The sequence below is a fragment of the Homo sapiens genome, chromosome 9 (assembly GCF_000001405.40).
Source record: "Homo sapiens chromosome 9, GRCh38.p14 Primary Assembly".
Taxonomy (NCBI): Eukaryota; Metazoa; Chordata; class Mammalia; order Primates; family Hominidae; genus Homo; species Homo sapiens.
This window is the reverse complement of record NC_000009.12, coordinates 81,473,026-81,491,694: the sequence shown is the minus strand read 5'-3', so window position 1 is coordinate 81,491,694 and position 18,669 is coordinate 81,473,026. Positions and strand designations below refer to the sequence as shown.

At 39.6% G+C, this 18,669-nt stretch overlaps 1 pseudogene; it reads right to left on the bottom strand.

The window, feature by feature from the left end:
* Positions 1–2,707: 2,707 nt before the first annotated feature.
* LOC101060099 (CST complex subunit TEN1-like) lies at positions 2,708–3,879 on the bottom strand (annotated as a pseudogene).
* Positions 3,880–18,669: the final 14,790 nt, after the last annotated feature.

Genomic DNA, 18,669 nt, shown 5'->3' with positions numbered 1-18,669 from the left:
TTCAGAGTAGAGTTTGTGATGAGAAAGGATGGCTGTCAGCTGAGGACAGGATAGAGGACTGTGTGTAAGGTTATAGAATAGCTATAAACTAGACAACTGGACAACTGGGCATGCATCACAAGGGAGATGGGGCAGTTTTTTCATTGCTAGGGATTGCATCAGTTATGTGAATTAGGTAAGTGGCCTGATTGGGCATATGCAGTTGAGGAAGAGCCCTATAATGGTTCCTGGCAAAAGGGGAAGGTGAGAGTATGGATTTGCTGCTGCCATGTGAAATTGATGGTCTACTGTTCTAAAATATCTTGTGGGAAGGAAGAGAGCTTAATTTCCTTTAGAGGTGGTTGGATTCACCTGCTTCATGAGGCACTATATGGCTGACTCACTCTCCAAGCTTTAACCAACAGAATGACATATTTTCTGTGATGCCAACATTTTCCCTGGACCACAAGAGACCAGCAGAGGAAGAGTGGTCTGGGCGGACAGTCAACTCTGACCACATAACAACTCTGCCTTTTTTCTTCAGATTGTATATTCTGGAGGGACACTGGCAAACATCTTTGCCTTTTAGTGTGGACACATCAGCATCTTAGGAAACACATCCAGAATTCAGTCACAGACAAGAAATCCCTCTTCACAGCCCTTTTGGCTGCTGCCAGTCTCCTCGCTTTAGCTGAGTACCAATGATAGACTGCCAAGCAAGTACTGTAGTACTTCTTTGTGAGGTTGAACTAAAATGTGAAAAAAAAAAAATCAACCAATGTTTATGGAATGACTCACATGTCCTGGGTTAGTTGTTTTAAGTGGCTTACTTCATTTGCTCCTCATACAATAACACTGTGAGGTAAGTATTATTGTAACCATTTTACAGATGAAGAAACTGAAACCCACAGTTAATCAACTTAACTTCCGGTCACACAGCGAATTGGCAGAACTGTCCTGTTGACCCAGGTCTTTTGGTTCTCAATCCAGTCTTCTTTCCATTATGCCTGGAACTTTCCTAAAATTTAATTTTTGGCTTAGGAGGTACAAATTTGGTAGAGAGATGGTGGTTGACTCTGTTAGATACAAATTGCGGGAATGTAAGGGAAGGCAGTTCAGACCGTCTCCTGCAGCGGAAACAAGACATCCTTGGAGCCCTTGTCAGGAGGATAGATTAAGAAAATGTTGGGGACTTTTCTGTCAGCCTCAAGCTTTCTTCAGAGCCTTGAACCTGTATTAGAATAGATATTTGCAGCAGGCAGAAAGAGGGCAGGAGTTTCCTCTGGCCTATAAGCCTTTTTCTACTACCTGGTTATGGCAGTGAGAAGACTCCTGATATCTGGACAATGGTGACTTCTGTTTGATGAGAACCCGTAATACTGCAGGAGCCAATCTAACTGTGAGTGTACATCTGTTTTCTGTTGGTACCTTTGTCAGTCTCGAAGCTGAGAAGGAGGAATGAGCAGAGTGAAAATCAGAACGGGCTTTTATTATCAACTCTGCTGTGTGATTGTTGCAACTTACTTAGCATTCTTCAACTTTGCCTTTCTGTATTGTGAGGAGATTAGATGATATCATTGCTTCTTTCTTCTTTGTAGCAGCAAAAATATTTTTTAAAAATAACATCTGATGTGGAATCTTAAGATGTAATATAGATTCAACTCTTCTGGATGAAGCGAGGATTGGATTAGGTGCCCGATATGGTCTGAATGTTTGTGTTTACCCAAAATTCCTGTGTTAAAACCTAATTACCAATGTGGTAGTAGGAGGTGGGGCCTTTGGGAGGTGATTAGGTCATGAGAGCATGTCATGCATGGGATTGTTGCCTTATAAAAGAGGGCTCAGAGAGATCCCTTGCTATCATGTCAAGACACAGCAAGAAGGTGCCATCTATGAACCAGAAAGTGGGCCCTCACCCAACAGCAAATCTATTGGTGCCTTGATCTTTGACTTCCCAACCTCCAGAACTATGAGAAATAAGTGTCTGTTGTTTATAAGCCACCCAATCTATGGTGTTTTGTTATGACAGTGTGAAGGGAATAAGACAGACCCAAACCGAGGGGCTGTCTGGAAGCCCTTGAGTCACGTATGAGAAACCCAGAGCTTTGTGGACGAGATTTAAAACTGCCATTCTGGATGATCTCTTGGGTCTTTTTCAAAATTAACAGCATGGGATTACAGAACATGGTGGTCTACGTCACCCTCTAACTGCCCTCCAGGTGTTCATTTCTTGGTTATTTCCAACTTCCAGCCTTGGGGAGGCATCCTTCATTATGTATTTACATTTTCTTTTAATTGTCAAATGAACTGGCTTGAGCTTCTACCTATAAGCTTCTCACCACCCTTTCCATCCATATCTGAGGATTCTTGAGGAGTGTCCATATCTCTCAGTCATATGTTGCTCCAGTTTTCTGCTTCTGCTAACCACACATTTCCTCTTTTGCAGTTGTCTCTTTCTTCTGCCTATATCAGCTCAACATAAACAGCAGCTGTCTTTGGTTCTTTTCCAAGAACCACTCACATATGGCTGCATGAGCCTTGCTTTTACTGAAGGTTGGCAATAGTGGAGGGTTGGGGGGTCACGGCACCTTATAGCACAGCAGATAATTCAAAATTGAATTTTAGCCATCCCTGTTTTACAGTCTCATAGCCATAGCTAGCACTGAAAATTTCTTTCTTTTTTTCAAGGTCATGCCCTCTGGGGCTTTATTCACCAGGGCCTTCTGAAACCCTCCATGACCCCACACAAGGCACAGCCTCAGCAGCCTGGAGCTCGGCCACTTGCAGCCCCTGGTGTGGTAGGGGGTGGGGGTGGGGTGGGGGTATGGAGTGTTGGATTTGGGGCCTGTTTTCTGAGTTTTCATTTCTGAGTCAATCCCAAATTAGGGGAAGGGGCTGGATTAACCGCCTGCCCCTCTGCTTTCAGGGTCCAGACAAGGCAGTCGCTGGGGAAGCGCTTATGCTCTGGGGCGCTCCCGTAGCTTGGGAGGCTTTGGCCTCAGAAGCAGGTAGGGGGTGTTACTGGGCTGCACGTCGTACTGGCCGCCGTCCCTCACACGCTGGTACTGCCTCTGCTCCCGCTTGGCTTGTTCTCACAAGGGCAGATCCATCCCTTCCACACAGTTCAGCACCAATGCCTTTATCATGGAGCCTCCGTGCTGCTGGTCCTGGAGCCCCCCGAGGACAATGTACAGGGAGCCCACCTGGGCTTGGAAGGGCTTCACCAACTTGGTACAGACAAGAACCTGGTGCCGATCAGATCCATGATGAGCCATCAGCGTCACTCCGGACTGATCACGTCACGTCATAGAGGCACAACCTGCCAAATGTTCTCAGTGTGACCCCACCAGGAACTTGGCTTGTACTGACCTCCCAGTGGAGGGAATAAGTCCCAGGTTTGGGCAGCATCACTGGCTCCTTCTCTGCCCCCTCCACCTGGGTTGCTGTTGGTTACCTGCCAAGGGGAAAATTTCTTTATGGAAAAGACTTCCTTCCAGGGTGCTAGGTTCCCTTGCTGTCTGTATTTCCTTAGATCTTTTCTCCTTCCTTCTGAGGCCATTCACTTCTCAGCTTCCTGTGCATGTCCCAATTCTCATTTTTTAAAGTCATAAGAAGGCATTTATTCTTCTCATTCTTCTACTATTTTCTTCTAGACTACCACCATTGTTCTACCTAAATGGCTCATTTTTTGCTTAACAAAAGACAGTTCTGTTCTTATAAGAAATTCTGCCAAGATCCTTTAAAATAATATTGTCCCTTCTTTCTAATGGTTGGTCATGGAACTATTAATACATGAGGTCTTTCTTGATTTAGCTATAAAATAGGTGTTTTCTTCCAAGCCTTAATATTCATTCAGAGAAATAAGATACCTTTAAATCGAAGATGGATAATTTGGATATTTGTGATTGTTCTGGAATTTTAAACTTTTACTATCTTTACACAAAAAGGAGAAAAAAACAGTAAAGAACATCCATATTCTCATCACCTGTTGAGCAACTTTCAACTCATGGCAAATCCTGTTTTATTTAACTCCCTGCTACTACTCGCAGATGGATCATTTTGAAGCAAATCCAGGACACTGAATCATTTTATTCATAATTTTAGTATGTATCTAAAAGGTAAGGACTCTCTTAAGACAACATAATTATGTTACCATTGTCATAAGATTAATAATAATTCTTTAATATCATCAAACAGCTAATTGGTGGTCAAATTCCCCAGATAGGCTAGAAATCTATTTTTTAAACAATTGTTCAAATCAAGATTAGAATAAAGTTTGTCTATTGCAATTGGTTGATATGTCTCTCAATTCTCTTTTAATTTATAGGTTGTCTCTTCCTCACTTATTTTTTTTTCTTTGCAATTTGTTAGTTGAAAAACTTGGGTCATTGGTCCTGTAGAACTTTTCACATTCTTGATTTTGCATCTTCAAACTGTCATTTAGTGAGATTCTTATTCCCCTACATATCTATTAGAAACTGGGTGATCCACAAGCTTCTCTGTATAAGTGGTGGTATCTACTTTCAGAAGGAGACATATATCTGGTTATCTCTCTTTTGTTGATGTTAGGAGCCAATAATGATCATTTTCTGCGTTCATTATTTTATCAGAGTTTGCAAAAATGATGATAATACAATTCAGTAATTCCTTCCTGATTTATAAGCTGGAATATTTCTGTAAAGAAATATACTATTCCTCATTAACTATTTGCTTATCCTCAAGTATAGTTGGTATAGGAGAGGAAAGGTATTACTTGATGCTTTATTTTGATTCATCAGTTTTCAGAATATTAAATTAATTCCCTAACACTTTCCAAAGGTAGCCAGTGAGTATTTATTTTAGAATAATAATTATCTAATGCATTTAAACATATACAAATGTTTTAATCCATTGCAGTTGTTATTATTACTTTTTGACACAGGATCTCACTGTGTTGCCCAGGCTAGAGTCAAGTGATTCTCTTGCCTCAGCTTCCTGAGTAGCTAGGACTACAGGCAGGTACTATCATGCTTGGTTATTTAATTTTTTTTTTTTTTTTAAGAGCTGGGATCTTACTGTGTCATTCAGGCTGGTCTCAAACTCTTGGCCTCAAGTGATCCTCCCACCTTGGCCTCCCAAAGTGCTGGGATTACAGGTGTGAGTCACCATGTTTGGCCCATTGCAGTGATGATTAATATTAAATGTTCACATTGTTCCATCTTTGCCACTGTAATGCTTTTCAAATTGGCTCCTGGACCATTTTGACAATTATGATAGCATGTGATAGTTTTCTTGCTTTCTAGTTTGGCAAAATGTTCCAGGTTCATCTAGAATGGGCCATTTCTTCAAATATAGCTGGTTCCTTTTGGTGGGAAAAGGTATTTAGAAACCACAATCTGAGTGTTAGAGTGCTTATTGCTACTAGAATGCTGATTATTTCTAAGCCTTTTCAATGGACAGAGCTAGGAAATGTATTTGTGTATTTTTTAATGAGAAAATACATCTTAAGTTTATACTGGTATTTCAAATTGATATTTAGAATTACCAAGTTTTTAATTTAACTTGAAAATTTCTTGTTTCTCTTTGCTGAAAATCTTGTATCCTAATGATGTATGTATCATTGGGATATATATATTTAAAATTTTTAGCCTATATATTTAAATTTTTATGAGTACATAGTAGGTATATATATATACAGTTTTTTGAGACAGAGCTTTCTGTGTCATCCAAGCTGGAGTACAGTGGTGCAGTCTCGACTCACTACAACCTCCATCTTTTGGGTTCAAGTGATTCTTCTTCCTCAGCCTCCCGAGTAGCTGGGACTACAGGTGCACGCCACCACGCCTGGCCAAGTTTTGTAGAGACAGGGTTTCACCATGCTGGCCAGGCTGGTCTTGAACTCCTGGCCTCAAGTGATCCACCCGCCTTGGACTCCCAAAGTGCTGGGATTATAGGCCTGAGCCACTGTGCCTAGCTGTAAGTGTATATATTTATGGGATATATGAGATGTTTTGATGCAGGCATGCAATGTGGAATATGCACATCATGGAGAATGGGTATCCATCCCCTCAAGCATTTATCCCCTAATGATGTTAACATGAATATTTCTTAGTTTTATCTTATAAATAATATTTTCAGAATATTAAATTTAATATGATTACAAACAACGTAATGACTTGTGTTAGTTCATTTGGGCTGTTATACTAAAATACCATAAACTGGGTAGCTTATAAGCAACAGAAATTTATCTATCACAGTTTTGGAAGCTGGGAAGTCAAGGCACTGTCAGACTTGATGTCTGGTGAGGGCCCACTTCCTGCTTCATAGACTGTGCTTCTCATTGTGTCCTTATATGGTGGAAGGGGGAAAGAAACTCCCTTAGGCCTCTTTTGTAAGGACACTAATCCCATTCACTAGGGTGGAGCCCTGATCGTTTCCTAAGGTCCCACCTTTTAATACCATCACATTGAGGTTTAGATTTCAACACATTAGTTTTGGGAGACGCAAACATTCAGACTCTAGAATTACTGAAAACAGTTTCCAAGAAGTTCTTTTTGTCCTTCAGGTATACTCGTCTAAGAACGTGCAGTCTGATTTTTATGCTTTAAAATCACTTGAAATAATTTTTCTATGTTAATGTTACCACTTTAGTACAAAATCTAGGTTAATTTATTTTATCTTGCTTTAAGTTTTTAGAAATTTTTTGCTTAAAATTTATTTTGTAATCTTATAAAACACATACAGCATTCCAAAATCAAATAAGTCCAGCATCTACCTCATCCCTTTTACCCTGTCTGTACCCTACCTCTCCACATTGCTTTGTTTTTAAAGGTGTGTGTGCACACGTGTGTGTGTATTTATATTCTCTGTCTTCCTTGGATAAATGACATCATTGCATGCATACTTTTCTCCATTTTGCTTTTCTCATTTAATAGTGTTTTTGGAGACATCTTCATAGTGATATAGAAAGATATTCTTTATTCATTTTTACAGCTGCACAGTATTACATGATACTACATTGTATGAATGTACTTATATTTATTTAGCTAGTTTCCTATTTATGAATATTTGGGTTGTTTTCTTTTTTTGCTATTACTGATTGTATTGCAATAGCTATATAAATATGATCTTTAATATTTTCTGATTAACAATAATGAAGCTAGTGTATCGTTTGGATGTATTTCTAGAAGTAGGTTTGCTTGGTTAAAGGGTAAATATGTATCAAATCCTGCTGGACATTTCTAATAGTTCACCAATGGAGTTGTGTCATTCTGCATTTCTACCAGTACAGGTAATCGTATCTCAGTGTAATTTTAATTTGAACGTAAAAGAAGTTTGAAGAAATCCAGAAGCTTTTACAGTTGCGAGAATTAAGGACCTTCTATCTAGAAAGTCTTCAAAAGTCCGCTGTGTAGAGTTGAACCATTTCTTATTTATGAGGAGTGGACATCCAGGTTTCCTATCCGGGCTTTCTTTCTCCTGCTCGCCACAGGTACAGGTGAACAGTACAGGCATGCCACAGAGGTCTTTCTATATCACCTCTGAGCCAGGACTAGTGGTTTAAAAATATTTTTTTCTTAGTTTTATTGTAAATGGAGATTTTTCTAATTTTTTTTTCTTTTTTTTTGAGGCAGAGTTTTGCTCTGTCACCCAGGCTAGAGTGCAGTGGCCCTATCTCGGCTCACTGCAAGCTCCGCCTCCAGGGTTCATGCCATTCTCCCCTGCCTCAGCCTTCTGAATAGCTGGGACTACAGGCGCCCACCACCACGACCAGCTAATTTTTTGTACTTTTAGTAGAGATGGGGTTTCACCATGTTAGCCAGGATGGTCTCAATCTCCTGACCTCGTGATCCGCCCACTTCAGCCTCCCAAAGTACTGGGATTACGGGCGTAAGCCACTGCGCCCGGCCGTAAATTGAGATTTTTCTACAGCTAGACCATTCTGTTAAATGCTTTTGCCTGTGGACTTGATTTTGTTATATATTTTCAATGATAGAATTTTGATTGATTTGGGATTTGACAACCTGGTATATCTATGTATTTACCTACCCATCCATCTATCCGTTCATCCACCCTAGCTATAGCCAAAATGAATTGGGGTGGCTTATACACTATTAGTGAAATAAGATTTTTAAAAGGTAAATACAGGGTAACAGGTTAAAAATGTGGTAAAGGGGTAGAAAAATAGGGAGAAAAATAAATCATGAAATTATAAGCTGAAAAAGCCAGGAATATAAGCTCTGATTTTCAACATGTAGGCTCAGAGTAAAACACAGTACATTATGTAACTCTCATTGTATAATGGTAACAATTGTACCAGCTCATTAGAAAAGAGGTACAGAATTGAAGAAAAGTTTAGGCTGGGTGCAGTGGCCCATGCCTGTACTCGTAGCACTTTGGGAGGCCAGTGCAGGAGGATTGCTTGAGCCTAGGAGTTCAAGAACAGCCTGGGCAACATACTGAGATCTTGTCTCTATTAAAAATAAAAAAAATTAGTCGAGGGTGGTGGCATGTGCCTGTAGTCCTAGCTACTCAAGAGGCTGAGGTGGAAGAATCATTTGAGCTCAGGAGGTCAAGGCTGCAGTGAGCTATGACCATGCCGCTGCATTCCAGCCTGGTGACAGAGTGAAAACCCGTCTCGATAAAACCAAAAAACCAAAAAGCAAAACCACCAAAAAGTTTGGTTGGAAGTTCTGTTTCTAAAACATGGCTAACAAGCTTGTTATAGTCAATCTTCGTGTTCATACATACATGTTACATATATATATGCATATATATGTTTGTGTGTGTATTCATCTGTTTGAAGTTTTAAAATATCTTAAGGCTACAAAAAAAAAAAAAAAAAAACCCACAAAAAACAAAAAAACCAGCAGTGAGGATTTGCAGGCCAAGATTCCCGGAAAGTAAGGAAGGACAGAGAGGACATTTGGCCCCATGTGACTTTTCCACTAGGGAAATCTGCTGATTTGCAATTAGTATGGAGAAGCCAAGAGGCTGAGCAGAGATTTAAGTACTCTTATGGGGCTAGGATGAAATAATTGGAACTAAAGACCTGCCAAGGAGAAAGGGTCTTAGTAGTCATCCCAGGCTTTCATTTGGGATTCTGAAGAACCAAATCTTAAAAGTAAATAACCTGGGCCGGGCGCGGTGGCTCACGCCTGTAATCCCAGCACTTTGGGAGGCCAAGGTGGGCGGATCACGAGGTCAGAGATTGAGACCATCCTGGCTAACATGGTGAAACCCTGTCTCTACTAAAAATACAAAAAAATTAGCCGGGCATGGTGGTGGGCGCCTGTAGTCCCAGCTACTTGGGAGACTGAGGCGGGAGAATGGCGTCAACCCGGGAGGTGGCGCTTGCAGTGAGCAGAGATCACGCCACTGCACTCCAACCTGGGCGACAGAACAAGACTCCGTCTCTAACTAACTAACTAATCAACCAACCTGGGCTGGGTGCTGTGGCTCAAGCCTGTAATCCCAGCACTTTGGCCGAGGCGGGCGGATCACGAGGTCAGGAGATTGAGACCATCCTGGCTAACACGGTGAAACCCTGTCTCTAGTGAAAATACAAAAAAATTAGCCAGGCGTACTCAGGAGGCTGAGGCAGGAGAACGGCATGAACCTGGGAGGCGGAGCTTGCAGTGAGCCGAGATCACGCCACTGCACTCCAGCTTGGGCGACAGAGCGAGACTCGGTCTCAAAAAAAATAAATAAATAAAATAAAATAAATAAATAAATAAATAACCTGAAAATAGATCATCCACCACAGGGACTGCATTTCAGCTCTGATGATCTCCATCCTTGATGCATTAAGATCTTTCCTATACCCTGACAGAAGCACATGTCTAGAAGAGAATACATTTGTAAAACATATCACTGTTAAAAGAGTTGTATCCAGAATGTATTTTAAAACACAAAAAATACAGACAATCCAATAGAAAAGTGGGCAAAATACTTGAACAGGCACTGTTCATAAAAGAGGATCACCAAAATAGCCAAGAAACATATGAAAAGGTTAACAATCCCATTATAATTCAACATAGAAATGCAAATTTAAATCACAACCATATACTACATACCTGATAAAATGGCGAACATTAAAAAGTTGGAAATATCAACAGTTGGTAAGAGGTAGAGCAACTGGAACTTTCTTATAGAACTGGTGAGAGTATGAATTGGTACAATGCTTTAAAATACTGTTTGGCAATGTCTACGTGGACTGAACATTCACATGCCCCTATGACCCAATAATTCACACCCAGGTATAAATTGGGCAACAGAAGTTGGCAACAGAAGCATACATATGGTCCTCTAAAAATCATATAAAATGTTCATAGTGGCATGATTTATAACAGCTCCAAATTGGAGACAATCCAGATATCCACCAACAGTAGAATAAACTGTGCTGTAGGTGTACAAAGAGACATTATAAAACAATGAAAATGAAAAAGGAACTACTGTTACAACACAGACGAACTTGACAAACATTATGTTGCATGAAATAAGCTAGACACACAAAAATAGATACTGATTAATTTATATAAAGTTTAGAAATACGCAATCCTGGCCTGTGGCGTTAGAGATTAGGATAGTGGTTAATTTTGGGGAGGAGGCAGGAGCTGGGAATTGGAGCAGGCATGTCGAAGGCCTTTGGGTATTGGACATGGTCTATTTCACAACTCAAGTGTCAATTACATAGGTGAGTTCACTTTGTGATTTAGCTGTACATTTATTTGTACTCTTCTGTAAGTATATTATACTGCAATAAAAAATTCATGTAAAGGAAAATTCTGAATGAACATATCTCTCATTGGACTTCATTCCATTGCCTAATCACTGTTTTAAATCAACAGATTATGCTACTGACCCCAACATCTTCTTAAAAATCGCCTGTATTTATCAAAGATATCAAGTGGAAAAAGATGTAGGAAGTTAAGAATCCACAATAGAGACCCCAATAGCCAGAAAAATGTGAGCCAGTTGGGGATTGACGAAGATTATAAGGAAATAGAACAGTAACAATAATTCAGTTGAGTTTTCATAGGCATGTACTTAACATCAGACCAAAAATAACATTGTTCTTTAAAAAATTTATTACATTAAAAATGACAAAGATGTGCTTACTGCAGAAAATACAGAAACATATAAGAAAAGGAAAAATAACCACATATAACCAATAATCTTGTCACCCTAAAATAATCTTTATAAACTTTTTGTCGACCTTTCATTCAACACTCTCTTAAAATACATTTACAAAACTTGAATTTGACTTACAGTTTTTTAAAAGTTTCCTTTTGCTTATGTCCAATCACATGTGCACTTAAGCAGTGCATTCTGTTTATCTAAGTTATCTGAACAGAACAGGGACAATCAGCTGTGATGAACTAACTATGAATCGAAGACCTGGCTAATGTAAACCCATAGAGAGCAGCCACAAAGAAATGGAATGAGGGACTGTCTGTATCTATAATCAGAAGACAGATTCCCCTTAGAAAAACATTTTTCTCTACTGTTCAAGTCTTACAATTGAATGTTTTAGAGGGCAGTCATTAGGTAGGTAGGGAATTCTCTGAATCCCCAGAAAATAGCTTCGTTTTTTTTTTTTTTTTTCCACATTTCTGCATTGTAGATGACAAGTAAGGCAGAGCTGGGTGGCATGAAAAAGAAATGGGCACTTTTGTTTTCATGCTGACTCTAAGGATATAGAGAGTGCCTTCTCACAGGGCAATTTTCTTTGGCATTTTGTCTGCTTTGGAATCCTCCTTTCTGTTGTGTTGTGTTTAAATTGCAGGGTGCACGCTGCAGTCATTGCCTGTCAATCCCTGAAGTTTCCAGAGTGTGGGGGAAACTTAATCACATAAAGCCCAGTGACATTTAGGGAGCCACACTGTTCAGATGTTCTTATCACTTTCCTCCACCCATCTCCTCATCCAGGGCACAGGGTAACTTGAGATCTGCACTTGAGCAGTCTTTCTTGTTCACACCTGCTCAGTCCTGTCTGGGCACTCAAGTTTGAAGGGAGGGATGTCTGCAGAAGCACCAGCAGGCCCACGGGAAGCTCACTTGTGAGGATATTTCTTCAAGGTTCCTAGGCAAGGGAGATGTGTAGGGATAAAAAATGTATACCTGTAAAGCACTTCAAAAAATTCTGATAAAATATATGAATCATGAAATTTACCTTTTTAGCTATTTTAAGTGTTTAATCCAGTGACATTAAGTGTATTCAAGATGATGTGCAACCATCACCACTATCTAGTTCTGAAATTTTTTCATCATCCTAAAAGAAACCCTATACCCATTAATACCACTTCCCATTCCCATGTAAGCCATCACCCTTCTCAGCCTCTGGAAACCACCAACCTGGTTTCTGTGTCTATGGATTTGATTATAAAGGATATTTCATAGAAATGGAACCATACAATATGTGGCCTTCTGTATCTGGCTTCGTTCACTTAACATGTTTTTAGGGTTCATGCCTGTTGTAGCATATATCAGTATTTCATGCCTTTTTATGGCTAGTATCCCATTGTATGGATATACCACAGTTTGTTTATCCATTCATCAAAGATGGGCATTTCGGTTGTTTCCACCCTTTGGCTATTGTGGATGGGGCTATTAGGAACATTGATGTGCAAGCAGTTGAACACCAGTTCTCAGTTCTTTTGGGTGTATATCTAGGAATGCAATTGGTGGGTAATTTGGTAATTCTATGTTAAACTTTTTGAGGAACTGCTAACTATTTTTCACAGTTTTAAAGAACTTTTAAGGCTGGAAATGTTCAACACTGATGCCCACCTCAGCATAAGTTATTAATAGAAACCTAATAGAAAGTAGTTTCAAAGCTTTTCTTCTTCCTATTCTAGTTCCCTTCACACTTCCCAGTATTCAGTTTCTTCATTTTGTCCCCTGAACTCCAGAGTTTTTCCCAAAGCAAACTGTTCTGGCCTACTTTTTTCTTTGCTAACTGCTATCTCGCCATCAAACTTACCTTGTCCTATTATTTCATGGCACTTAAAAAGAACAAATTCATTCTGTTGTGTTTGGATACTTAATGAGGGATTACTGCAGTGGCTCTGAAGCTAGGATGAACATTAGGCCTAAAATGATTTTCCAAAGCAACACTTATTTCTGGATTCCTTACTGAATCACATGTTCTGGAAGGGGAGGCTCAGTGTGTGTATTTTCACTGATTCTTTTCCACACTTCTATTTAGTAATCAGTCCAGGTGTGATGGCTGATGCCTGTAATTCCAGCACCTTGGGAGGCCAAGGTGGGAGGATGGCTTGAGCCCAGAAATTTGAGACCAGTCTGGGCAACATGGTGAGACCCTGTCTCTATAAAAACTAAAAAAATTAGCCAGGCATGGTGGTGTGTGCCTGTGGTCCCAGCTACTCAGGAGGCTGAGGTGGGGGGATTGCTTGAGCCCGGGAGGTCGAGGCTGCACTGAGCCATGATTGTGCCACTGTGTACCCCAGCCTGAGTAACAGAGTGAAACCCTATATGAAAATAAATAAATAATAAAAATTTAATAATCAGTGGGTTAATGTGTTGTCTACATAATTTACAATGTTAATAGGAGTGTTCAGGGTATAATGCTTCATTCTAAAAGTTAGGAGTATTGATAATATTTCTGGCACTAAGGCAGTAGCTAGAAAAGACAATTTGACATTTTGGAGCAGGAGTGGGCCTTGACATTACTTAATTCACACTGAATAAGGATCTGGTGGATTATAGGACTGATTCATCATGATTTTAGGAGCATATTGCTGGTTGCGGTTGAAAATAAGCTGCCCCTTTTGGAAAAGCAGACTCCTGAATCATGCAGAGTTGGTATAAAGGAGTAGAGTGGGTAGACTGGAAACTGTTGCAATTTGTTTAGTATGAAACAGATTAGGGATCTGGAATTAATTACTTGAGTGTGCTTCCAGAAGAGAGAATACAGCTAAGTAGAAATAGGCTGCTTTGAGAAACCAGAAAAAAACGTGTATTCAAGACTTCACTATGTTATGGCTCTTTCACTGGTTGACCAATTGAGATGATATGTAGGCATGAGAATTGGCTGAGAGACTGAGAGGGTGTCATTAGGAGTCAAAAGATGAGATAGAATCCTGTAATTTTTTCATTTAGAATTTTGTGTATTTGGCATTACTTGGATTCTTTATTTGTGCTAGATACCTACTTTCAATAACTTGTCTTATTTTAAACACTTACCTTTATATAAACACTAATCTAACATTTTCCATTGACTTCCTATTCTAAAACTGGTCATTCTTAAATTGTCACGCACGCTCCACCACTTGCTGGAAGCATTTATTATGAGGCTTTATGTGCAAGGAGGAAACTTTAAGAATGTGATAAGCTGCAGCGCCTTAAAGCTTAAGACACCACATCCTGACCCTTGTTCCCATTGTGTCTCCATCTCCAAATCTACACAATGGAGATAATGGGATGAATATCTCAGGATAGTTTAAAGATGACTTGGTTAATAATTTGTGAAGCTCACAGGAAATTACATATTTCTTTATTATGGTTATGAGCACAAGAAAAAAAATTTCAATACTGTCTCCTTTGAACACATGTCAGACATACTTCTAAATATATTTAATATAATTCAGGATATCAGTCAGTTGTTTCTCAGTTGTTATCCTAGACTTGGAAAAGAGGTGTGTTTTGCTGACAGTGCTGCCAAATTCGCACATGGGCTGAGATATGAATAGTGGTGCTAATTACGCTTTGCAGAACTGGTAGCCAATTAATGTAATAAGAGAGTCCCACTAAACCACATCAGCCATACTAAAAATAATATCATCCCAGTGGTGACTGATATGCTGATTTTATTTGCCTGTTGAGCTACCACAAGAGTGTATTATGTTTTCTGACTTTACCTGTTATTGAAATTAGAATGGAATAAAAACGAAATTGAAATATATGAAGAATTTTTTCTACAATACATATTTTCAAAATCTAGGTTCAATTGCGTTGTTTCATACACTGAAAAGGAGGGGTTACCTGGTTCCCATAATAAATAAGCTAGTTCAATGCAACAAACAAATAGGTACTAAATAAAATATTTTTCTTGCATATATTAATTTAGACATTTACAACTTGACAGACGAGCAGGCTGAACTCTTAGAATATGAAATGTATGAGTGTCCCCTTTGTCTTGACCATTTAAGCGGTCAACGTACCTTCACCTATAAAAGCAAACCGCAAGGCCAAATGTATGTTCCAGGGCTGTGTTTTCCAAACAGAAGTAATATACGGGCTTACTTTAGTGGACAACATTTTCACTCATTCTGCCCTCATTAAATGAGCTGATACCTTTTTAGATAATGTTACTTATATCTCTGCAAATGTAACTATATATAAGCTTGTTGTTTTCTTTGAGATGGAGTTTCGCTCTTGTTGCACAGGTTGGAGTGCAATAGCGTGATCTCAGCTCACTGCAACCTCTGCCTCCCAGGTTCAAGCGATTCTCCTGCCTCAGCCTCCTGAGTAGCTGGGATTACAGGCACGCGCCACCATGCTGGCTAATTTTGTATTTTTAGTAGAGATGGGGTTTCTCCATGTTGGTCAGGCTGGTCTTGAACTCCTGACCTCAGGTGATCCACCTGCCTCGGCCTACCAAAGTGCTGGGATTACAGGCGTGAGCCACCGTGCTCGGCCTTGTTATTCTTATAGATACAAAACAATTATAAAATTAAAATTGATTTACAAATTAAATATTAAGAAAATTTCTAAACCAATGAAATCCAAATTCTACACTGATTTAAGAAAACATAGTTACTGACCCCAATGCAACTCCAAGTCTTCAGTTTTGGTATCATAAACTCAATCTTCCTATTTGTTTAGTCGGACCATTAAGAAATCATCATTTACCAAATTTCACTTGGCCTTCAATTGGCACACGGTGTGTCACTTTTATATTAATTCCTCCTCAGCTTTCTCTACATTAGCCCATGTACATTAAAGTAGTATCACTTGATGATGATGCAATAGAAAAATGAAAGCACAGACACTAAAATGAAGTGGAAATACTCACTTATAAGGTGGTTATCCATGTGGCCCCAAGTATATTTCATAACTTTTTTAGCTTATCATTAAAATAAATCACAAAATTAAAAAATTCTATTCTAAGGACTCTTCCTGCCCTCAGTTGTCCTTATTTTTCTGGGTTTAGAAGTTAGTTTAATGCTAAAACTTGACTTCAGCACCCAACTGTGGCCCCTTCAGATTTTGTAGTTTCCTAGAAATCACATCTAGCATTTTGGACAGATGAATCCCATCATGGATTTTAGCTTTTCTGACTCTTGTAGCCAGAAAAATAGAGAATAGGTTGAGTAAGAAGTGACATAGAAAAATTCCTCCCACCATTCAGACTTCCTTCTGTTCATTGCAGTCTACTGGGAAGCCCACTCATCATCTCCTAGATGGATGACATCAACCATTGTTTCCCTGCCTTCCTCCTCATTCCCTCTTTTTCACATTGCACATGACTTTCTGACCAATTACGCTAAGCTGCATGTTGATAAGGATGATCAGTTATTCCCTGTTGCTCACCAAAGAGTTTAAATGCTTTATTCATGCTTTCAAAGCTCTTCGCCATTTAACCTCAACTTACCTTTACCTCCCAAACACCATCACTCCCTACAGTACACCATGGTCCAGCCAAATTGGATCACTGTATGTTCCCTGTGCTTTTCTGCTTCTGCCCTTGCTCATGCCATTCCGCCTGCTGGTCATACCTCATCCCCCATCTGTGCTTTCTGAAATCTGACTCGTGGCTTAGTGCCCAACTCAGATGCCTCCCCTCTGTGGCTAAAGCATTCCCTGACCATGCCTGCTGGACACGATTCTCCCTTTGAGATTCTAGAGGACTTGGTCCTTCTCCCTATGGCCCCCATTTTAATGTGGCCTCACATTTTGGCCGTTGTGTGCATGGCTTTTCTATCCATCCTTGCAGAATGTCAAATTCCTGGAGGTCAGGAACCGCACCTAACTCACTTTCCATTCTCCTCACTGTCTGCCCATTGCCATAGGAGAAACTAACTACTATTTTCTGTGTAAGTAGAAAACAGAAAATCACAATTCTAGAAGAGGTGTGAGTAGACAGTTTAATGTAGTTCTGAGTAATGGATGGTATTTTACCTTCAAAAACAGCAAATCAACTAGAAAAGTCTGATAAATTTTTCCAGGTTTCAGGCCTGGAAAACAACAGATAGTTATTTTCATTCCTGATCAATAACAAATTTAACAATTTGCTCAAAGGTAAAAAATGAGCATTATAAGGAAGGGGCAGCAATTCCCATCCACTAAAATAAGAAGAGATATTTTATGCACATGCAGGAGATCTAATGAGAAAACAGAGCAATGGCCCAAGAATGTGGTCCAACAACATGTTATTAATCGTCTAGAAACTATGTTTACAGAAAACAGCTGACTTTGGGGATCTATGAGCGCCTGTACTTTTTGGCAATCATTTTTTGCTGCCAAGCTTAAAACATGAATAACGAATTCACATCAGTTCCTTTACCTCACTGACTTAGTTTTTACTTATTTATTTTCTCTCTGTGTAGCATATATTAATGGGAAAATGAAAATACATAGAGATACAGTCTTCTACTAAACTCTGACATGAAGCTGAGGTCAAACTTATCATTCAGAGAAATGTTTTGGGTTTTAAATAAATAATTTTCTTCTACTGGCCCTATTAGTATAAACATCTTTATGAATGGGCACATTTTTCCTCTGGTGGTGTTTATTTTCAGTTAAGTCTAAATACATTGCTTTCTCCTTGTTACATCACTATTGGTTGCCAACTTGATAATAACAAATTCATCAAAAGAAGGTGCCTGCCATGTAGACATTCTTAGTTATGAGAAGGGCAACACAGTAAGAATGTCTTAGTCATGACAAGGGCCGCCTCTTGAAGCTGCCATGTGACTAACCCTAGTTGACCAGGGAATCTGCAGGTATGCAAATGGCTGCTTGATTCCTGGGAATCTGACCACTGTCAGTCAAAGATTATTGCAGTTCTGGAAGCAGTGTGAGTAGCACATTGCATTGGTGAGAAACACATTGTTTTTGGGACAGTATGGTATCCCCCAAGAAGCTGCAAAAAATGGGAAAAATTCTTTCCTCTGAAAGTTAAACTTTAAGCTCAAGGGACAGTAGCAGTGATACACAGAATCGTGAGAGGGACAACTTTCCCTCCAGGACTGACTAGTTTAGTGTCATAAAATATGCAAAGAAAAAAAAAACTTGCCTGCCAGAAAGAGAGGATGTTTTATCATTGAGAGATATACCAGTGAGACACGCATTGGCTGTACCTTTCCAAGTGCCATGTGGGAAGAGAACAACCTAGTCAGTGGGTGTTTACTTTAGTATGCTGGCTGCAGTGGGTGTTTAGTATGCTGGCTGACAGCACTGGCAAAGCCCCTGGTCAGATTTCCCCTAATTTGGTAATTCAAAGAGTTGTAGCTAGAGCACTTTGTGTCCTATTGGTAAAACCACCTCTACTGTCAGCTGCAGACACCTGGGCATCTTTATCTGATGCTCTTTGCTTTTGATTCACTTGACAGATATCGTCCTTCTGAAGGCAAATCCTTTTTCTTAATGTAAGGAGATGTGCACATGGTGCTTGCACAAATAATTCTGGTTTCTGTGGCACATATTACTTGAGTCAAAATTAAATTTGGTAACTCCTGACTTGGG